The sequence below is a fragment of the Homo sapiens genome, chromosome 18, assembly GCF_000001405.40.
Source record: "Homo sapiens chromosome 18, GRCh38.p14 Primary Assembly".
Classification (NCBI taxonomy): Eukaryota; Metazoa; Chordata; class Mammalia; order Primates; family Hominidae; genus Homo; species Homo sapiens.
In genome coordinates, this window is record NC_000018.10 from 13,392,236 (window position 1) to 13,414,903 (window position 22,668).

The window sequence follows — 22,668 nt, forward strand, 5'->3', positions numbered from 1 at the left end:
GCCCCCACCTGCCTCACAGGGCATTTGTGAAGCTCTTTGCAGCATGCGGCTCTAAAGGCCGCCTGAGTGCCATGTGTTGTGTGGAGCACCTTCATGTTACACTTGAGCATGTAAAAACACAGATGTCCTAAACTTACTGTTTTTGTGCTTCCAGGCCCTCTTTCTGCCTGGCTGTCATTCATTGAGCAATGATATAGGTGAATGGACTTGGGAAAGATAAGACTCTGGCTGTCCTAAAAACAAACCCCCAGTTCCTCTGAGCAGAGGGAAGCAGGGACCCTTCCGGGCTGGGTCCGCCGGCCTCTGTCCCAGGTGCCGTCATAGTGGTGGAGATTTCACCTGAGGTTTCTTGTGGTTTTGACTGACTTGGAATGCATCCTTTCTGGGTGTCACCGTACACATCCTAAAGAGGTTGCTGGCTTGAGATTCTGCCTCTTCCCGGCCCATGGTACCACCCTTGGATGCTGCAGAGGTTTTGCACAATTAATTTTCTTAGGCTTTTTAAATTATTTTAATGTTAGAGAAAAACATTTAACCTCAAATAACTAGGTAAGTGAATCAAATTCCTATAGAATTTATAGCGAGTCTTTCTGGTGAAAGGAGAATCAGATCTAATTGTTAAATAAATTAAGGTTATTTCGCTCATAAAGGAGGAGGAGGGCAGTTAGTAGTCTTTGTCTGAAAGTGCTATTTTGTGGATGTTGGTGACCAGGTTTTCTTAGCCACTAATGAGACTGAAAAAGAATCACTTAAATGGAATAGTTGGAGCTGTTTCCCCTGTGGGCTCCGAGTGAAGGATGTAGGCTTGCTGGGGGTGTGACTGGGCTGCTGTGTTCAGGAGCAGCTCCCGGCGTGCCCTTCCCACCCCACAGACCTTCCGCGCATTCCTCATCCCTCTCCTCTGCAAGGTTGCACCTGTGGCTGACCCACGGATGCCCTCAGCCCCCGCCTTCCAGAGCTGCCCAGAGAATGCTCGCTTTAGGAGATATTGAGAGCTGTTCCTCCATAAAAGGAGTGGGGGTGAATTAATGGCCAAAGCTTGGAAGAAGAAACTTAAATCAGTTTCTTTACTACAGAACTTTTCAGTCTTTAATATGGGGCTGTGCAGTATGAAGGTCCCAGGTGGGCAGGCAGCGGGCAGTGTTTTCCAAATGACAAGACCTGGAAGGCATTTTAGAGAGAACAGCAGGCAGGGACAGCTTCTCATAGCACGCACTCTGGAGAAGCCACAAATGTTTTGGGGGTCGCCTCCTGCCATCTGCAGCTCCCGTGTGCCTGTCCCACCTGCGCCAATGCAGTGGTCCCCGGCGGGCTGCTTCTGTTGAGCAAATATTGACGGAGCTCTTGCCAGGTGTATGTCAAGTGCTGCAGAGAAACAGTGTCATGAGACCGTCTCCCTGCCTCCGTTCTCTCCTCTCTCTAGTTCTGCCGATGCTCTTTAGAGTGAGGTTTTAGTGATAAGTTTCCCTTGCCCCAAAACTTTCCAGGGCTGCTTCTTGCTTCATAACAGGAGTCCAGGCACCTCTTCCTGGAGTTCAAGGCCCCCAGAGTTGCCTTCCTTCATTCTTGTGTTGTGACCAAAGTTCCTGACACAGTGACTGTGAGCCCACCCATCAATCATTTGTGCAGTTTTTAATGGGATGCTGTTGCTGATGCTTTCTCATTTCCTGCAGAGTCTCTCTTTCCACCACCTTCCTCTCCATCTTCAGGATCTGTCTTAGGTCCATGTAATCTTTTGTGATGTGTACAGGAGAAGCCTAGACAGTCTGCCTACTTGCAATTTAGTAGGTGTAGAAATGATTGATAGTGGCTTTTTGTAAAAATATCAAATGCTTTTTCTGCAGGGAAGTTAAGTTTGCTGAGAGAGCCATTTGCACATTCTGTGGTATGTGTACTTGGTTTTTCCTTCATGCTGTTAGCCTCGAATCTAGTCCTCAGTTATAAACCTAACCTTAATTAATAACGTTTCTGTGTGTAAATAACATATAATTTATGTTGTTATTCCCATAAGCACCAAACTCTTCTCCATTTTCTTCCTGGTAAACCATTCTATACTGTTTCAAGATAATCAAATGTGATTATCTTTTTTTTAGAGGCATCGTGGTAGTCTCATGTCGAGATGTGTACTTACCCTTTTAAATAAGGATGAGAAATAATTTCAGTATTGCCTGAAATTATATTTATTTTAAGGTTACTTGAGTGTGTACAACATAAAGATAGTTATAAATATCTTTTTATAGCTGTTAAATAGCTAAAATATCCAAAGCAATTAAATATAAAAATTATAAAGTCAGAAACATTCCAATTAATATTTAATGTGACAGATGAGTTTGTTTGCTGAAAGCTTTCATTTTCCAGCTCTTTTTATTTATGCTCAGAGCATCCTGCAGGGAGACTTCGTGATGGTGACTGCTCATTGCTGGGTGTTAGGGCTGATAGCACAGCCAAGACCAGTTTGAATGCTGGCTCTACTGTCAGTAAGTATGAGCATTGTTTGAGATGAATCCTCTGCCACTGAGTATCCAGGATCAAAGCAACTTGCATGTCTCATTAGGTTCTTTGGAAAATGGGGGCTTTTGTTCATTGTACATCTGAAACTTGGATGTTGTAGTTATCCCTGAAATGGAGCCACTTAGCTCTGGAGAAATCAAACATGTGCAGAAAGCAGGTGACTGCTTCCATACGTGGCCTCTTGTAGTTTCTTGGGTCCTAGCCTCTTCCTCTGTTAGTGTATGGATGTCTCTGGAGTCCTTAATACTGGATTCTCCTGTGCTCTCTGTTGGCAGATGAGCTCAGAGGCTGGGGAAGGCATTGCTTCCAGGAGGAGCAGCCTGCCCCGGTCACGCCCCAGTTCCTGCTCTGTGACACTGATAGATCAGCTGACCTCTCTGAAGTGCACTCTTTACCACACTGAGGTAGAGATAATGGCCAGTGAGTAGGTTCTGTATAAAGATTAAGTGAAATAACATTTGTAAAGTACCAAAACACAGTCTGGCTTATAGTGGTGCTCGATAAATGTTCTTCCCCGTCTTCTTTCATAGTCTTCTTGAAGTTGACTATACAGAAAGGCCTCATAAAAATCAGGGGTTCATTTAATAAATATTTAATAGTTGTCATGCCATACTTCTGTCCCAGGAGTGTACAGTCTGAGTGTCATCACGATCTGCACAGTTAGCTGCCATAGCTCTGATGACATCACATGCAGGTGTGGAGGTGGGGGCTGGCGTGGGGGTGGGGGCTGGCAGGGTGGGAGCTGTTGTGGGGGTGGGAGCTGTTGGGGTTGGAGCTGTTGGGGGGCGGGAGTTGTTGTGGGGGCAGGAGCTGGCGTGGGAGCGGGAGCTGGCGTGGGGGCGGGAGTTGGCGTGGGGGCGGGAGTTGGCGTGGGGGCGGGAGTTGGCGTTGGGTGGGGAGCTGGCGTGGGGGCAGGAGCTGGCGTGGGGGCGGGAGTTGGCGTTGGGTGGGGAGCTGGCGTGGGGGCGGGAGCTGGCGTGGGGGCGGAAGTTGGCGTGGGGTGGGGAGCTGGCGTGGGGGTGGGGGCATGGGCTGCAGAGGTTGAGGATTTTAGCTTAGCTCCCGGGGCCCTCTGCTCGTGGGAATCAATCTCCAGCACAAGACATCCCCTCTGGTTCCTTATATCCGGTTTGATAGGGCTTTTAGCTGAACTTCAGCCCTGCCACCTGCCTGTGCTGGGCTGATAATCGCCTCTCTTCCAGAGTCTCATGGAGTCGTCACAGGCCAAGGGTCTTCAAACTTGGCTAGAAGTCAAGTCCCGGGTCTCTGTGTTTTTTCAGGATACTATGTTTAAATGGGGGAACCCAGAAATGGGATGCAAAAATAAACAAGTGTAACGTCTGGGTAGTGGTTTATGGTTCCGTTAAAATTTTTTAACCAATAATAGTCCGTATGGGAGTATGGACTCTTTTTCCTCTCAATTTATGTTGGCATTTGTAGAATACTCCAGGGTGGTGTGAGAAAGACATCTCCTGGTTCAAGATTTCCTAGGGGCAAAAAAAGAATACAAAATAATAACGTGGTGCCCTAGCTGGGCGTGTAATTCTGTGCTCTGTTAGCACAATCAGCCTTGCTGTCCTTTGTGGATGCTCAAGTCCCTGATATAAAATGATGGTGCATATACTTAGAACACACAGACATCCACTCATAGACTTTACATCATCTCTAGATTACTTATGATACCACATACAATATAAATGTTGTGTAAATAGTTGTTATACTATATTTTAAAAATTTGTATTGTTTTTTATTTTTTAGACAGGGTCTTGCTGTGTCACCCAGGCTGGAATGCAGTGGCGCCATCGTAGCTCACTGCAGTCTCAACCTCCTGGGCTCAAGTGATCCTCCCGTCTTGGCCTCTTGAGTAGCTTGGACTACAGGCACATGCCACCACATCTGGCTAATTGTTTATTTTTTGTAGAGACGGAGTTTTGCCATGTTGCCTAGGTTGGTCTCAAACTCCTGGGCTCAAGCGATCCTCCTGCCTTGGCCTCCCAAAGTGCTAGGATTACAGGTGTGAGCCACTGCGCCTGGCCTATTTTTTATTGTTTTATTGTTATTTGTATTTTTGCCTCAATATTTTCAGTCTGCAGTTAGTTGAATCTGCAAATGTAGAAACTGTGGATACAGAGGGCTGACGGTACAGCTGTAGAGATTGTACAGAAGAAAATACATTAATAAATGTTTCTAGATGCCATATTGTATTTTAAAGAATTCCTTTAAAGAAGCTATATTCCAGTTGCCAAGTAGACAACAGGCCTCCAGACTCCCTAAGGAGATGGGGGTGTGCCCATTTCACACGAGGGTTCTGTCCTAGGCTTGCTGGGTCCGCCAACCCTGAGGGAGAGACCAGCCACAGCTGCTGTTGGGTTTGCCTGACTTTTATTTTTTTGTTTTTGTTTTTTTTTAGACGGAGTCTCTCTCTGTCGCTCTGTCGCCCAGGCTGGAGAGCAGTGGTGAGATCTCAGCTCACTGCAAGCTCCGCCTGCCTGGTTCATGCCATTCTCTTGCCTCAGCCTCCCAAGTAGCTGGGACTACAGGCACCCGCCACCACACCTGCCTAATTTTTTGTATTTTTAGTAGAGACAGAGTTTCACCCTGTTAGCCAGGATGGTCTCTATCTCCTGACCTCGTGATCCACCCACCTCGGCCTCCCAAACTGACTTTTGTTTTTAATTTTTAAAAACTTTAATGCCCTTTTGCAGCAATAGGGTCTTACTATGTTTTCCAGGCTGATCTTGTATTCCTGACCTCAAGTTATCCTCCTGCTGTGGCCTCCCAAAGCACTGGGATTGCAGGCATGAGCCACTGTTCCCTGCTGGGTTTGTCTGACTTCTTAGGAAAATCATCCTGAGATCAGTGTTTCTGAATCCTACCACCTGTCTCTTGTTATCTTGTCTGTAGAGCCCTAGAGCAGCAGGACCCATGTCCTTGGCACTCACTGAAAAAGCCATGGGACCCAGCAGGCCCTGCCCCAGGACGACAAAGCACGGTGCTACCACGGCGCAGCACTCCTCGTACTGGGAGTTGGGGAGAAAACCAGGCTGGTCTATCATCTACACTCATTTTTTTCTTTTGTGATAAAATTGCAGAAAATTCAGGGTGTTTTCCCTGCCCTTTTGGAGGGATGCTATCTTGATCTCAGCGCACGCTGTTTCACAGAGCTGACATAAGGAGTGAAGATTAATTGTCTGCCACGGCAGGTGCTTTCGCATATGTGGCCGTGTGTGCTCCCTGAGACAGCCCCAGGAGGTGTGGGCGTGATCCGAGTTTGTGGCTCAGGATCTGCACAGGCCCGAGAGACCCTCCTTGAGGACGCAGTGGCCAGTGGGGGCCACCATGTCAGGGTTGAAAGTGGGGCTGTCTCAGATCCTCCCACTGTGGCGTTTCCTTCAGAACCGAGTTGGGGCAGGAGGGGACGGAGGGAGAGAGGCAGGAGGCTGAAGCGCCGAACCCAACGCAAATACTAAGCATTTGATGGGGTTGTCTGTGTTCTAAGTTGGAAAATACAAACTTTTCCATGTGTACCTTAGATAACCTCACTGGCGTTTGTCATTCTGCTTTTGGAATGCTTAGGCGTGAAAGCAGCACAGCGTCACGGTGGTGATGCTTGCGTAGCAGTGTGAGAGTGCAAACCTGAAAATGGGAAAAAATGGGGCATTTTATGTTACGTACATTTTACCACAGTGAACATAAACAGTTTTGAAAAAAAAGAAAATTGCTGAAATACCATTGAGCTTATCAGAAGAGCTCAGATTTGAGTGTGGGTCTTGATGGGAAGTAGGAGAGCAGAAAGATGGGTGGGAAAGTGGGAATGACTGTGGGTGGGTAACGAGGGTCTCAGTTTTGGCTTAAGGACAGGTTTCGAAGGAGATGGGCGGCCCCTCCCTCTAACAACTTGATATGTAGTGATCAATGCTCTGTTGATGTGGGTTTGGCGCTCACAGAGAGGATAGGCAGTGTGCTGGTGGGCTGCTGGTGTCCTCACAGCCTCTGACCACCAGCCTGGACGTGGGGATACGTCTCTGCAGAACCAGGCCCTGCCAGTGACCAGCCCACCCTCCCCGGGGGCACTATAGCAACCGTGTGTTGTTGCCTGGGACTCACTTCCCTACGGGGCATTGGTTCCAGTATTGTGTCCACTCTCATGGAGTATGCTCGTGCGCAGAGATGCAGCCACCCAGATCTTCATCTTTGTAATGATGATCGGGGCTGGGAGCAGTGGCTCACACCTATAACCCCAGCACTTTGGGCGGCCGAGGTAGGAGGATTGCTTGAGCCCAGGAGTTCCTGTCCAGTCTGGGCAACATAGCAAGATGCCACCAGATGTGGTGGTGTGTGCCTATAGTCCTGGCTACTCAGGAGGCTTGAGCCTTGGAGTTTGAGGCTGCAGTGAGCTGTGGTCACACCATTGCACTCCAGCCTGGGTGACAGAGTGAGACCTTGTCTCAAAAAAAAGAGAAAAAAAAGAAAAAAAAAGACGCTGTATGTATTTTGCCCTAAACAGAGTGGACAGTGATGTGTTTATACACATGTGCATGTTCCTGGGCTCAAATCCTGGCTGTACCACACCACCCTGTGTGGCATATGGTGAGCAACCTAACCTCTCTGTGCCTCAACTTCCTTATCTATAATGTGAAAATGACAATAACAATAGGTACTTTAGAGGTTTGTTGGGGAAAATACATCCATTTATGCAGATAAAGCACTTGCAACGAAGCCAGACACATGTGTAAACATGCAATAAATAGTTATTGTTATTTCAGGCACACTGCTGCTACTCAAACATGACTTTATGGCAACAGGCAGTTGTTAGCCATCGACTCACTTTATTGACCAAACTTGGCCCCCAAATATTTGCTAACTCTGAGACCCCAGCTCGCTATCTGCAGAGCCACATGGGCGTCCCATTTGCCAGTGGCATCTGAGGACATCCTTAGAAGAACAGCTCCTAAGGGTTTCCAGGGATGGCAGCATTATCGGAATTCCTGCTGTAAACTCACGTGAACATATGCTCTTCTATTAATAGTTCATTTTTAAACAACAACAAAACAAGCCTCGGATTCTTGAAGATGCCTTGGTAAGTTGATCTTATGTCCCTGCATGATGAATTGTTCTGAATGTATTCCGTGAAGATCGATTTCCCCACAGGAAGACCCTTTATTACCTATTTGTCATTTAGATGCAATTATTTTGCTGCATTTTATAACAAAGTGGAAATAGAATTTAAACAAACATGTCGCTGAGCAGTTTAGACTCCATATCTTTATCGTTACTCTTCCCTGTTGTTTGTCTGATGCAAACATTTCTGGGCCTGGAGAGCCAGTCGGCGTTAGCGGTTATTGACTTTCATTGAATTTTACGCTGGGCACTGGGCTAGGTGCTTGGAAATGACAAAACTGGAAAATATTTCGTGGAATAAAATGCTACATAATTTGCTTGGATGGCAGGCTTCTTTGGGGCAGCTCATCCATGTCACATACACTTGCACAGTTAGTTTATTCTTTAGCGTGGGGTAAAAGAGAGGGAATCATGCAAGGTGGGACGATTTCATTTCTGCATATAAAAAAGTGCCACGGGGTCTTTGATCCACCTCCTTGTGTCTTTTTAAGATCCTGGAGGCCTAAAGGGATTTCTGTTTCTGGCAGGAATTTGGGCTTGGGTCAGAGTCCAGGGGTGAGGGTAGGCCCACCTGTCATGGCACTGGGACTGGGCTGCTGGGTGTGGGGCCCAGACCTGCGGGCTCCAGACGGAGCCTTCTCTTTGTGCAGTCCGTGCACACATGAGCAGCCCTGACTCTTAGAAACGTGGTGATGGGGAGGAGACGGTGAAAAGAGTGTTTATGATTGGAGCTCAGGACTGGAGAGGAACCGGGGCAGTGATGAGCCCAGCTATGTTCACACTCGTATCTGTCATATCACAAGTGAGCCCATAAGAGGGAGCAAAGCCTTCTCTCGCACATTCTTTCAAAATGCTTTGACCAGAAGAAGCCTTGCTGTTGGTGTAGGGATGACGGAGGAAAGGACGTGGTTCACTTACGGGCCATGAGGTGAGCCGCGGAGGCCCACTCCTAGATTTATTGACTTCACATGTGTTCCTGGAGCACTTGCTGTATACCAGACACTGTAGTAGGCACTGGGGACACAGGGCTGAGTAAGGTGGAGGCAGACCCCATGTTCATGGAATTCACACATGTCTGGGGAGACAGAATAGAGTAATCAAATGTATCCTGCCATTTCAGACAGCATTCAGGTCCCGTAGAAAATCAAGTATGGGAAGGAGATGGGCAAGAGATGGGGGGAATGGCCGTTGCTGATAGGAGGGCAAGGTGAGGCCTCGCTAAGGACAAGGGAGGGCAAGGGCACATAGAGAGCAGGGAGTGTGGGCTCAGGAAAGAGCAGCCAGGGCAGAGGACTCGGGCTGGAACAGAGTTGGTGTTTGGGGAACAGTGTGTCAGTTGTCCAGAGGCCACATGCCCAGGAGCAGACAGGCAGGTGGGCAGTCACTGTAATTTCATTCATTTCCAAAGGAAGGGAGAAGCTGGGTAAGACTGTCAGTTTTGGCTAGGAATGTTTGCTATATATTTAATACATTTATATTGTCTTTTTCTAAATCATCGCTTTGAAAAAAAAAAAAAAAACTGTCCCTTTCTCCAACACTGAGTTTCACCACAGTAGAAGGGCTTTATATTTAGGGTTACTGCACTTTATGTATTTCCTGGCTCCTTGTAAGTGCATTGCTCAGATGTGTTGGTGTGAGCGTGAGAGGAGCAGGTTGGGGGTTGGGCGGACTCTCCTGTGCGTCCCCGAGGCCCTGGGAAGGAAGTCACCCACCCCGTAGTGGAGAGGATGCCCCGTGCTCAGGTCTGGACAGCCTGGGCCTGTCTTCAGGAGAGTCTGGTGCAGGAAGCAAATGATGATGTTTTGCTTGGTCTTTGTCCCCCAGATGCAGGCTGCAGCCATTTGGGGTCAGACACGTGGAGAATGGGGTCTGCTCCCAGCCTGGGTTCACTTCTAAGCTGGACCCGCCTTGGGGACTCTGAGGCTTTTTCCTTCTGTGTGGTTTCAGCCCCCCTCTGGCAGGTGACCAGTGCCACCAGGCCCTGCTGGAAGTTATCCTCATGCTTCCCTGAGGTTTGTGGACTGACTTCCCTGCTGGAAGTTACTCTCACGCTTCCCTGAGGTTTGTGGACTGACTTCACAGTTTCCAACGGTGGTTCCTCCTTATCCGGGACGATGGCAGGATGAAACAGCGCAGAGAATCAGTGGTGGCGCTTTGCCAAATCGCTCTTTCATCTGCCATACTTTGTCTCTTCTCACCTAAAATGAGAACATCTGATGCACTTTTCATGATATTTCAGCATTAAATACCGTCTTTTAAAAAGATAGGAACCAACAACGTGCTTTTCCCTTCTTTTCCAACAGATCCTTCAGGCTGTGGGCCCCGTTCCTTTTTGTTTGTGCCCCTGGGTGAGTCCTGGTTTCTGTGCAGGTGTCAGCACAGCCCCTTGCCCTTTCTTCACAACCACAGCTGCTATTTGGTTATAGGACCCTGCTACCCTGACCCGAACTCACACTTCTCTTATAAACGTCCCATTTTCAGAAACTCACTTCTAGCGTTAATGGTTCCCCAGTAGCTCAATCTTGAATTACAGGATTGTTGTCTCCAATAACTTGAACAATTTTTATAATCTAGATTACCAAAACATGTTTTGGCACCTGCAGGGCTCTTCTTTTAATTAAAAAGAGACTTACGAAAAATTAAAGATCTCTTCGTTTTTAAGTGAAAAACATTACATCTTTTGGGATGCTGAATCTGGGTATGTTTTGTGACCAAGAGTCCTAAGAGTTCTCATTTCTAAAGTCTTTCTAACACGTTGCATTTGTTTCCGTAGCTCCTAGGTCAGTGCTGCTTCTATAGACAGCAATTAGTAAACATATGTTGAATGAATGAAATGGTATTTGTGATGATTTGGGGACTCTTCCATCATTCAAATTCCAAATTGCGAAAACCAAAGAAAGTTGAATGGATAAATGTCAACCAGGAAGGAAATCTAACAGTTTTGTCTCGAGATTTTATCAGGAACATGGGTAAAGGTGATGAAAAACATGCTTATCACATTTGCGAATGACAGGAGATTGGAAGGGGTTGCTCTCCCACTGGCCTTCACAATCAAAACTTAGAAACAACAATATTAAAACATTAAGCCAGTCTCCAAATGATATGTGGTTAAATGATAATAGCACATTCTTATGCTGAAATAGTATGTAGCTATTAAAATGATATTGAAAAACAGTATTTGCTGTCCTGGAGAAAGGCTTACGATACATTTTTAAGTGGAAAAAAGTACATCCTAAAACAACATGAAGAGGATGATTCTGTTTTTTAAAATGAAGAATAAAGACTTAATAGACGGATGCATGCCAGAATGCTAACAGGGACCACCCCTGAGTAGGAGCATGAGGCAATTTTTACTTTCTTACCCTTGTTCATTTATAAAGTTTCTTTTTTAAAGTAAGAATGGAAGTGTTTTATCAAAAATGAGTTAATAATAACTGTTCTTTTGTGGTGAATAAAATAAAACATGGGGACTGGAGTCTCTCTTCTGTGGTGAAAAATATATCGGCCTGGTGCAGTGTCATAGACTGACACTAGGACCCATGATCACTTCATGGCGTTATTATCAGGAAAGAGTCCATCTGAGAACAGATAGCAAAACTCTCTTTGCTTTCAGAATAAATGGCAGTGAGTGTATGTTGGCAGTTCCTGCATTGTGAAACCCACAACGCTGTGTGACCTTGGGTGAGTTACTTCACCTCTCTTGGCCTCAGTTTCTCTGTGAAATCAGGAATTAACATGGTCTCTGAGACCCCCTTCTGATGGTGAATGTGTGGTTTGGTGATTTTGTGGCCCTGCATCATGACCTTATTTAGTTCTCTTTCAACAGGGGATGTTTTACTGCCTTGTAAAATCCTCGTGGGACTGCGTGTCTTTATAGGAGCCAGGGTGTAAATGAACAGAATTCAGATTGGTTCTAATATATTTTACCTCTAAAAGAAAGGGCATGGGGAGGCCATGACCTTAAAGCAGGTTTTTTCTGTTGTCTGTGAAGCCTGTGATGATTGAGAGTGGCTGGGACTGGCGGGACGATGTTTGGGTGGAAGAGGGAGGCCATCTGGATGCGCCCTGTCCCGGGGAGGCACCCAGCCTGTAAGGAGGTGATGTCTATCTACACTGAGCGCAAGGACCCTGAACCGGGGGAGGCTGAGGCGGGGCCTCTTGATTCCCACCCTGTCCCCCAGTGGCTAGGCTAGTGTGGCCCGGGAAATGACTTCCATCTCTCCCTCCAGGCATATTTAATAAGAGGCCAGTATTTTCAGATTCTGCCGCTTCTGGACGAATGTCTCAGAGAGCTGGGAGGCGCCCTGGAGGATGGAACCCTTCCTTGAGCGTTGTTGAGGTGTGTCGGGGGTGCCGTGGCACAGGCCCCTTCCCCTGGGGGGCATCACTGTTCCCTTGCTCTGCATCCCCGCTGTTTCCCCTGCCCCTGAACAGGCGTGGAGATGTGCACGGGACACTCGGAGGCCGGATGCTCAACAGAGTGGAGTGCCGCGACGGTGTGGCCGCAGCCTGGCTGTGCCTTCACGACGCAGCTGCAATCAGAGGAGCTGTGGGACGCTGTCCCACGTGGACACAGCCCACTCACTGGGTGCTGCTCCTGTGCTGGGCGCTGCACTTTTATTGTCGTTAAAAATTTATATTAAGATGCGGCCGGGCATGGTGGCTCATGCTTGTAATCCCAGCACCTTGGGAGGCCGAGACGGGCGGATCACGAGGTCAGGAGATCGAGACCATCCTGGCTTACATGGTGAAACCCCGTCTCTACTAAAAATACAAAAAAATTAGCCGGGTGTAGTGGTGAGTGCCTGTAGTCCCAGCTACTCGGGAGGCTGAGGCAGGAGAATGGCGTGAACCCGGGAGGCGGAGCTTGCAGTGAGCCGAGATCGTGCCACTGCTCTCCAGCCTGGGCGACTGAGCGAAACTCCGTCTCAAAAAAAAAAAAAAATTATATTAAGATGCTTAAAAAGTAACTGTACAAATTCAGGCCCTGTTTTAATATGCGTTTCAGCTGTCGGTGGTGTTTCAGAAATGCATGCAAAAGAATTGAAATCGCAAATCTCTGTAGGTCGTATGAAGAAGGAAAGAAAAAAGCAGTGTGAGCGAAACCCAATGAAGAGGTCGTAAAAGTAGGTGTGACCTCTGTGAACCCTGAAGCAGTGGGAACCCCTGGGAAGGTCACGGATCCCCTAAGGGAAGCTGCACGTTTGCTATTTTGATAAACAGAAGGTAGTAATGATGAACAAATACAAAATTATTATTATAATATTATGTATAATATTAATATTATTAGTTAGCATTTAATTATATACCATGGGTCAGGTGCTGTGCTGAGTACTTCATATATAGCATCTCTTTAGTCTCCACAGTGACTTCAAGAAGTAGGTATTGAACCTGTTTTATACCCAAAAGACTGAGGCTTAGAGAGACAATACATCTTGTTGGTGGCAGAGTTGGACTTTCTACCCAGGTTATCTGACACTGAACCCAGGCCCTTAACCTAGTATGTGTGATCTTAAAATGGAGAATGTAAACTACAAGTTCGTTGCCACCATTTTTTTATTTTGTTTTGTTTTGAGGCGGGGTCTCACTCTGTCATCCATTTTGGAGAGCAGTGATGCAATCATAGCTCACTGCGGCCTTGACCTTCTGAGCTCAGGCCATCCTCCTGTCCTCCTGCTTCAGCCTCCCGAGTTGCTGGGACCACAGGCACAAGCCACCATGCCTGGCTAATTAAATTTTTTTTTTTTTTTTTTGGAGAGACAGTCTCGCTGTATTGCCCAAGTTGTTCTTGAACTCCTAGCCTTAAGCAGTCCACCCGCCTCAGCCTCCTAAAGTGCTGAGATTACTGCAGGCATGAGCCACCGTGCCGAGCCCCTATGCGAGCGTTTTCACCATTGGAATTGGAAGCGCTTCACTGTGGACTGTTGAGCTCTGGCGTGCAGGGCCCTGTCCTGCTCTGAGCTGAGGGTGTCTGAGTGCCACAGAGGTGTGGGTGAGCACCCAGGCTCCTGGGCCCGCTCCTGTCGCAGCTCACTTTCTGTCCTCTAGAGCAGGCAGCTTATCTTGCTGTGAGAGACAATTCCTTCCTAAGTCCGTTTCTTTAAACTCAGTAAAGGTTCCACGGTGATTCTTCCTGTGCAACTTTGAAAACAGCGATATCACATTTCTTGATGGCCGAGAATGTTGCCTCTACTTTTGCAGCATATTTTACTCTGTCATCTAACAGTGCTGGGCACCCATGCTGGCAGCCCCAGTGCTAGGGGACCCACGCCCATGCTCTTGTGTTATGCCTGGGCCCCCTGGGGAGCACTGTCCTGGATTCCTGCCTACTGGTCCTCTCGGCTGATGACGGATGGTGAAATTGCAGCCCCCAAGTGACCTTGGTGCCTTCTAGCTGAGAGAGTCACGGATCTCAGTTGGGAACACATGGTGCCAAGGTGCCATGGGCTGGTTTCTGCAAGTTGTTTGCAAGTCCTAGAAATGACAGTGACCTGTAAGCAAGAAGCTTGGGACCTCTATATGTCAGGAAGTGACATGTGCAGTGCTCCCTGGGCATTTTCTTTGTTCCAGAGAAGCTGGAACACCTGGCATCATGCAGAACACCAACACGAGGATATAGTCAGGAGGACCTCATTCTCTGCCCCGTCGATGCCGTGGTGCGCATGATTATTATTTTGTTTACTGGGGAAGAGGCTTCCCCTTTGTGCTGGGCCTGCCTGCTCTGGAATTCTCAGAGGAGCCTCATCATTCTGACTATCTCTGAGCGGGAGCTACAGTGGGAGTGGGCAGGCTCCTGGGACCTGGACAGGGTGGGAGGCTGTTTCCCACGGTGCAGGCTGGGGCCGACTCCTACTAGGCCTGGTTGCACTTGCTCTCACTTGCCATGGGTTTTTAGCACAGTGGTCCCCTCATGCACCTGCTGAGGGGCCTCTGCACACTCACGGGAGGAAGCCTGTCCTCCAGGGCTGCCTGTCCCTGAGTAGAAATGCAACTGTCAGGGTGCTTAGGATGGTGTGGTGTGGCGGGTGAAGGTGGACTTGAGTCCATAACCTTTGTAGAGCAGACACTGACTCAGCAATAAAATGAGGTGACTGTTTATTAATGGCAATTTAAGTCCAGGACTGTCGGCCTCTGCCCTTTCATATGTGCGATAAACTTAGCACGGCGTGGCGGGCTGCAGGACGGAATAGTAAACAAAGTGCGTGGCGGTATGCATTTTAAGCTTTTCTTTTGATGGGTTCTCTGTGTACTGTGTGTAGGATGCCCCGGGATATCAGCTTTCCCTACCCTTGCTGTAAACTTGTGCATGAGTGTGCGACACTGCTGGATGTCACCTGCGCGACTCTGGTGCACCCCTCATAGAGGCTGCTCTGAATGTGGCTCCAGAGCTTCTCTCATCTCATTTATTATTAGAGACATAAAAGTAATTTAGCTGATAGGAAAATGTAATTTTTTCTTCATCATAGCATTAGATTAATTGACGGTGATGTGATTATCCCGAGTAAATCTACCCAGTGTTATAGAATGCCCACAGTGCTTAGGCGCTATGTTAGCACCGCAGTTGGAGGCAAAGATGAACAAGACAATGCATTGTGCCTCAAGTCACTTACATATGTTAACTGACTTTTCTAATTTGTACCAAGGTCTATGACCATACCACCCTGAACACACCTGATCTCTTCTAATTTGTACCAAGGTTACCTGAGGGTACTAACACCGGTAGGAGCTGTATGAGTGCATCTTGTCCAGGGTTTCACCCCCTTGGGAGCAGATGGCCATTCGGAGCTCAGAGAATCTTTGCCTGGCCAAATGGTGGGCGTGGACCTGGCCAGCTTCTGAGAAAGGGAGCCAGGAGCTGATAGGGCAGTGGAACCACCTGTCTGCCTTGGAGATATTTTCTTCACAGCCCTCACCATTGCTTTTAATGACATATTTGTGTGTTTCTTATACTAGGGTCTGTCCCACCACGTTCCTGAGGGTAGGACCTAGGTCCCTTTGTATTAATTGTTCTAAGAACTCCATGTTTAAGAAACCATAATTAGTCAGTTTGACAAACGGCACCCCCCTGCCCATTTCCACATCTTCAAAACTGGAATTTGGTTTATAATTGATCAGGTCTTACAACTACAATTGTTTGTATTTTCTTTTTCTTTCTTGTTGGCACACAAAATATAGTGTGTTACAATTACTGTCACCTTATATTCAATTATATATGAAATATGAAGTCCAGGCACAATGGCTCATGCCTGTAATCTCAGTACTTTGGGAGGCCGAGATGAGAGGATCACTTGAGGCTGGGAGTTCGAGACCAGCTTGGGCAACATGGCGAAACCCCGTCTCTACAAAAAATACACAATTTAGCCAGGTGTGGTGGTGCAGGCCTGTAGTCCCAGCTACTTGGGAAGCTGAGGTGGGAGGATCACTTGTGACTTCAAGTTTGAGGCTGCAGTGACCCATGATCATGCCACTGCACTCCAGTCTGGCTGACAGAGTGAGACCCTGTCTCAAAAAAAAAAAAAAAAAAAGGTGAGAGAGATAGAGTAGTAGGGTGTGAGCCGTAGAAAACCAGTCAATAGAAGGCACACAGCTTTTTTTTTAAATTTTTTTTATTTTTATTTTTTTGGCGATGAAGTTTTGTTCTGTCACCCAGGCTAGAGTGCAGTGGCGTGATATTGGCTCACTGCAACCTCTGCCTCCTGGGTTCAAGCAATTCTCCTGCCTCAGCCTCCCGAGTAGCTGGGATTACAGGCACCCGCCACCACACCTGGCTAATTTTTGTTATTTTAGTAGAGATGGGGTTTCACCATCTTGGCCAGGCTGATCTTGAACTCCTGACCTCGTGATCCACCCACCTCAGCCTCCCAAAGTGCTGGGATTACAGGCAGGCACACAGCTTATTAATCGAGCTTCCTTTTGGCTTGGAAGTTAGGATGCCTTTTCTTCTTCTCTCCCGTAGCTCCTTTTTTTTCTTTCTCTTTCTCGTCTTTTTCTTCCTTCTTTTTTTGCTTTTAGAAAGTTTGTTGGGTTTTGTAAATCCCATACAGTGAATATGGGTTACTTTTTAAGCAATGGAAATAAGTTTACTGAAGTGATGATGATTACATCATTTGGCTTTGTGTGCACAGGGTGAAGGTCTCTAAGAACATCTTACTGAGACTTCAGAGGAGCTGTGTGATCCTGCCTTTGTGTCACAGCCCACCCCTGACCCCCAAATAGGCCTGCCCATGAAGAGCTGGGTTCTGCCTGTTTTCCACATTACCTCCGTGACATGGTATAATCACACTGTTTATTGTTTTTTGTTTGTTTGTTTGTTTTTTCACTAGGGAAGTAACTGGCTAGTTTCATAATACAGATGAGACCAGGCCTCATGGCAGTGAGTGAGTGATTGAGGAGGGCCTGGAAGGGGTGGGTAGGCTGCTGCCTCCCCTCCCAGGGAAGGGGGAGATGTGTGGGGGCCCCCTTGGGGATCCTGTGTAAAATGCTTAATTGCCCTCTAGGGATCTGTCCTTAACTATAGATGATTCCTCACCATATTGTTTGTGGTTACCCTGCCTATAGATTATTAAATAACCTTGTCTCTTATTTATTGCCATTAGACACAGGAAGACTTTAAGCTACTGATAGATAGGTCAGACTATTAACCTATTGTATCTTATGTGCAATTTACATTCTTAAACATTTCTATCTTCAACCTGTATCTTATTTAGTTTCTAGAACATATGCCAATTTTGTATTATATCTGACAGCATGAACATTCTCTAAACTAATTCTTAATGGACTGTTTCATTCTTAGATTAGGGACAGCTTGGGCCATTCGCAAGCTGGAGGAGAAGAGTTTCAGATGAATTCCAGTTAGTACATGTAGAAGAATTGAGGAAAATAGAAAATCACCATCAGAACATCATAATAATGATGCTGTAGGTGAGACCTGATACTGGGTGCTGAAATTAGTCAATGAGAAAGGAGAAACAAGATATTTGAATAGTCTCAAAGTGTCTTTCCAAGTATAAATGTTTATTAATTATGAAAAGAAAATAGTAGGTTTAGAGTGAAGGAAACTGGCAAACACTGAGTGCTCAAGGTCAACATCAGCAACAATAAACATACCCACACGTGGTACCCCAGGGCACGACGCACTGAGTGGGCACACTGCCTCTGTGGTGTTCTTCCCAGTAATGCAGAATCTTATTCTAATCGTGATAAGACACCGCACAGACCCAAATCGAAGGACGTTCTGCAAAACACTGGACCAGCAGTTTTCAAAAGTGTCAAGGCTCTGAAAGGCAAGGAGGGACTTCCGACCTGACATGGCATGGGGGGCGCTAAGGAGACGGGACAAACACACCACAGGCTCCTAGATGGGATCCTGATGGGGGGCGCTAAGGAGACGGGACAAACACACCACAGGCTCCTAGATGGGATCCTGGGATAGAAGAGGGACATTATTCAGAAAAACTGGTGAAATTCAAATAATAATAGGAGTATGCCAATTTAATTTCTTAGTTTTGATGATTGCACTGCAGCTGTCAGATGTAAACACTGGAGAAGGTGGGTTAAGGAGAGTAGACAGGAACTCTAGTGATTTTACAACTCTTCCTCACATTTAAAATTATCTCAAAGTAAGAAGTTTACAGAAACCTTTATGGGTATGTATACCCTTTTAATTGACATTCAGTTTTGCTATTGTTTACACAGTGAGGCTTAATCTGCATTAATGGATGGAAACATAGCATATAAGGAGTCCAGGATGACAGATAATGGCCTACACTGGACTTTGAAATATGTTGTGTATACATTTCTCCTCCTTCCTCAGATTTGCCTTGTGATTAGGCTAACAATCTAAGAGATAAGGCCAATCAGGTTAGATGCTGGCAGGAAATTCATAAAACTGATTATTTCTTGGGAAACTGAAAGCTCTGTTTGTAAAAGGCTAGCTTGATTTCAGTGGATGGCTTTTTGTTAGTGGGAAGTGGAGATTCAGGGCAAAATGCAGGAATGGGTTTTTAGGGTACAGTGGCTGCCCCTCCAGTTGAAGGTCCATGGGGTGCATTCTCATGGCCACCAGAGAAGATGGCAGTTAGTTATTATAAGTATCAATACGGGCCAGGTGCGGTGGCTTACGCCTATAATCCCAGCACTTTGGGAGACTGAGGCGGGTGGATTGCTTGCATCCAGGAGTTTAAGACCAGCCTGGGCAACATAGCAAAATCCCGTCTCTACTAAAAATACAAACATTTAGCTGGGTGTTGTGGCATGCACCTGTATTCCCAGCTACTTGGGAAGCTGAGGTAGGAGGATCACCTGAGTCTGGGAGGTGAAGTTTGAAGTGAGCTGAGATTGTGCCACTGCACTTCAACCTGGGTGACAGAACCAGACCCTGTCTCAAAAAAAAAAAAAAGAAAGAAAAAAAAGTGCCTCTATAGAGTCCTAAGAGCAAAATCATCTTTTGTTAGTATGCTTATCTCATAGTTTTGCCGTAAGTGCTTAACAAATGCTTGAACAAAGCATTTGCTATTAGACTAATATGTTACTACTTCCAAGTATTTTACTTGGATACTGATATGGTTTGGCTGTGTCCTTACCCAAATCTCATCTTGAATTGTAGTTTCCATAATTCCCACCTGTCGTGAGAGGGACCCAGTTGGAGGTAATTGAATCACAGGGATGAGTCTTTCCTATGCTGTTCTCATGATAGTGAATAAGTCTCATGTGATCTGATGGTTTTATAAAGGGCAGTTCCCCTGCACACGCTCTCTTGCCTGCTACCAGGTAAGACGTGACTTTGCTCCTCATTTGCCTTCAGCCATGATTGTGAGGCCTCCCCAGCCATGTGGAACTGTGAGTCCATTAAACCTCTTTCCTTTATAAATTATCCAGTCCCTGTTATGTCTTTATTAGCAGTGTGAGAACAGAATAATACAGATACTTTTGTTGAAATTGCCATCATGAGACCCAACCCAGTAGTCTGCACCCAAGTTCTTTTTTGTTTCTTTGAGACAGAGTCTTACTCTGTTTTCCAGGCTGGAGTGCAGTGGGGCAATCATGGCTCACTGTAGCCTTGACCTCCTGGGCTCAAGCAGTCCTCCCACCCCAGCCTCTTGAGTAGCTGATTACAGGTGCACATCACCAATGCCCAGCTAATTAAAAAAATTGTTTGGTAGAGATAGGGTCTCACTATGTTGCCCAGGCTGGTCTCAAACTCCTGGACTCAAGTGATCCTCCCACCTCAGCCTCCCAAGTGTTGAGATTACAGGGATGAGCCATCACGCCTGGCCTGCACTGAGTTCTGAAGTTAGTATTTGCTCAGGGCAATTCCCTAACTCTTTGACAGTAGTCAGATCAGTGGCATGACTTTGCCTCAGTTACTGCATTGTCTGCTACTTCCTCATATGTAATCTCTGGCCCCATCACACTGCCTACTATTCCTAGAGCATGACATGTCCTTTACACCCAGCCTCTGTTCTTTCCAGCTCTTAAAGTATCCTTATCTTTCTTTTCTCTCTGAAAAATTTCTGCTCATTTTCAGCACTCAGGTCAGCTAATATCTCCCTTATAAAGAAGTATTATCATAAGGTTCCATATTTCTCTATTATAACATTTACCATGGTGTTTCTATTTGAATGAATGAGATTCATTCACTTCTCTCTCATCCATTCATATGATATTGATCAAGTGCCTATTATGGACTAGGTACATGAGGAACTAGAGAGACAGCAGTGAAGGTTCAGACAGGGTCCCCGACTTTATGGGCCTCCACTCCAGCAGGGCAGGTGGACTGAACTAGCTATATAATTACGGTGGTGAGAAAAGGATTTGTTTACCTGTTAGCATTTCTAGATTATGAGCTCTTGGAGGGCATGGATTTTTGTCTTCCTTGTTTTTGAAGCCCCAGTGTCTTAGAATAGCACCCGGCAGCCAGTAGGCGCTCCGTAAGTGAACGAATGAACTGAGCACTTAATGTACCAATTTGTACATGATCTTATGGACGATCACTTTGCTCCCAGCAGCTTCTCAAATTTTTATTGATCTATGAACCGAGCTGAGAAGTTCATAGTTGAAGACTGTCCTGAGCTTCCTGGATGCGCTGCTTCCTTCTCCTGGTACGTAGTAAGGGCAGCGTGTGTGACCTGACAGGATCACAGCAAGGCTGTGCATCAGTCAGGATTCTTCTTGCAGGCAACAGCCACCACCAGCAGGAAGGGCTCCTCTTGAGCCTTGCTGTCTTCTCATGTTTCCAGTGCCACGTCAAGCCCAGGATGGTGCTTTGAGTGGAGCTTGGGTCGCATGACTGTGCTTGGCTGTAAGGAAGGTTGGAATCCAGTGCTGTGCTTGTATCTGCGTTTTCTGTTGCAAAGGCACTCCCTTTCCCACAGACCTATCAAGTGGGGAGGGAAGGAGGTTTCAGTGCTTGGCAAGAAATATCACTGTACGTGTTCACTACTCACTGACATGTAATTGGTCAACTGTTCGTAAATTCCGGCTATTTTGTGTTTAAGCTGATAGAGAATTCTGACAAAGTAAATGTGAGCTTCTGCGGAAGTTTCTATCACAGTATTTTTAAACATGCATCAATATCTTTGTAAATTGAATTGCTCCGTTTAACCTCATCTCATAGTGTGATCAATCGAGGCCTCAGGTCTCTGACCAGGCACTTGCAGTAATTTTTCAAGAACACTGTATTTGACAGAAACAGCCTGGTAGAATGTGATTTGGGAAAAGGGATAATGTCTTCAATTGAGTACGGAAATTATGTCTTTAAACGTCTGGGAATTCTATTCAATCATTCAGTCAACTGTCAACATTTACTGGATGTCCAGTGTTTGCAGTGACCTAACGATTGCTGTGTAGTGATTTGCATTCTTTAGTAAGTTTTTCCAAGAAGTTTTATATCTTCTTTCTAGGAGAGAGTATGGTTGGGCTGGGCGGGGTGGCACACGCCTGTAATCTCAGCGACTGTGGGAAGCTGAGGCAGAGGAGTGCTTGAGCCCAGGAGTAGGAGTGCAGCCCATGCAACATAGAGAAACTCCAGAAATTAAAAAAAAAAAATTTTTTTTTAAATCACTGGGAAAAGAAATAATTATAAGAGAGTACCTGCGTTTCTACCCATACCCGAGGTTTTCTTGTTTGTGATCATTAAATAAGTGGATGGTGTTGCTCTGGTGGTGTGCTGGACATATTTTCTCAAACCAGAGGTGCACTATAGTCCACCATGCTTTGTTCCAAAATTTGTAGTGGAGGTCTACCTCATGCCTCGTTTTGTGCCAGGCACAAATGAAATCCAGAGATGAACATCTTGGGGTGCCTGCCTTAGCAGGCAAGACTCTTGGTTGAAGGGACAGCAGGTGGGCCTTGGGGCCAGGCATCCTTGGGAGATGCCTCCATCCCCACCATTGCTTGGCTTTGTTGCTTTGGGCAAGTCACATGACCTCTTGGAGCCCGTTTCATCCTTGTAGGATGGGGTTACTGATACCCACCTCATTGCACTAAGTGGGCCAGTGAATGTACAGTTCAGTACCTTCCTCATGCAGTTGGCATCTCTATTGTCACTGTCACTTAGAGGCCAGAGGACAGGCAGGACCCAGACACTGGAGTGCATTTGATGCCAGGCTGTGGAATTTGAATTTTACAAAGAGGAGTCATGTTTCCATTTACTAATTACACGATTAACTGGAGAATATGCTAAAGTCCCCCATTGTCACAAATTACAGTTTCTTTCTTACTTTTGCATTTCTGTGTTTGCTGCAGCCCAGCAGGAGGTCCATTAAACCAAAAGGACTCATTATCTCCTCAGGACAGGGATGGTGAGGGAGGAGGCTGGCTTGCAGACACCTGCCCTTGCTGTCCTCAGCAGGAAAGGGTGGGGAGCTCGAGAAGGAGAAGCCCACACGCCCTTCTGTCCTTGGACTGTGTAGACCTTCTTAGGGTGGCTTCATTATTTGCCAGGCAGTAAACTCCCTGATTATCAGACACATCTGTATGCCAAGCGAAGTATTAAAACAGACTCTTTGCAAAGCCTATGGAAGTGTTTTTTGGGCA

The 22,668-nt window shown here is 46.5% G+C and overlaps 1 protein-coding gene across 43 annotated transcripts in view; it reads left to right on the forward strand.

Moving 5' to 3' along the window:
* Positions 1–22,668, forward strand: part of LDLRAD4 (low density lipoprotein receptor class A domain containing 4) — a 435,073-nt gene that overhangs the window by 174,554 nt on the left and 237,851 nt on the right. The window contains exons 5-7 of one of the 43 annotated variants that reach the window (XM_047437786.1): positions 16,758–16,903; positions 17,426–17,553; positions 20,640–20,732. The exons of 40 other annotated variants lie outside the window; for them this stretch is intronic. The gene's annotated coding sequence lies outside the window, so the exon portion shown is untranslated. Of the gene's footprint in view, positions 1–16,757; positions 16,904–17,425; positions 17,554–20,636; positions 20,733–22,668 lie in introns of all 43 variants that reach the window. 2 more of the 43 variants (XM_047437787.1, XM_047437788.1) reach the window with 2 other exon arrangements.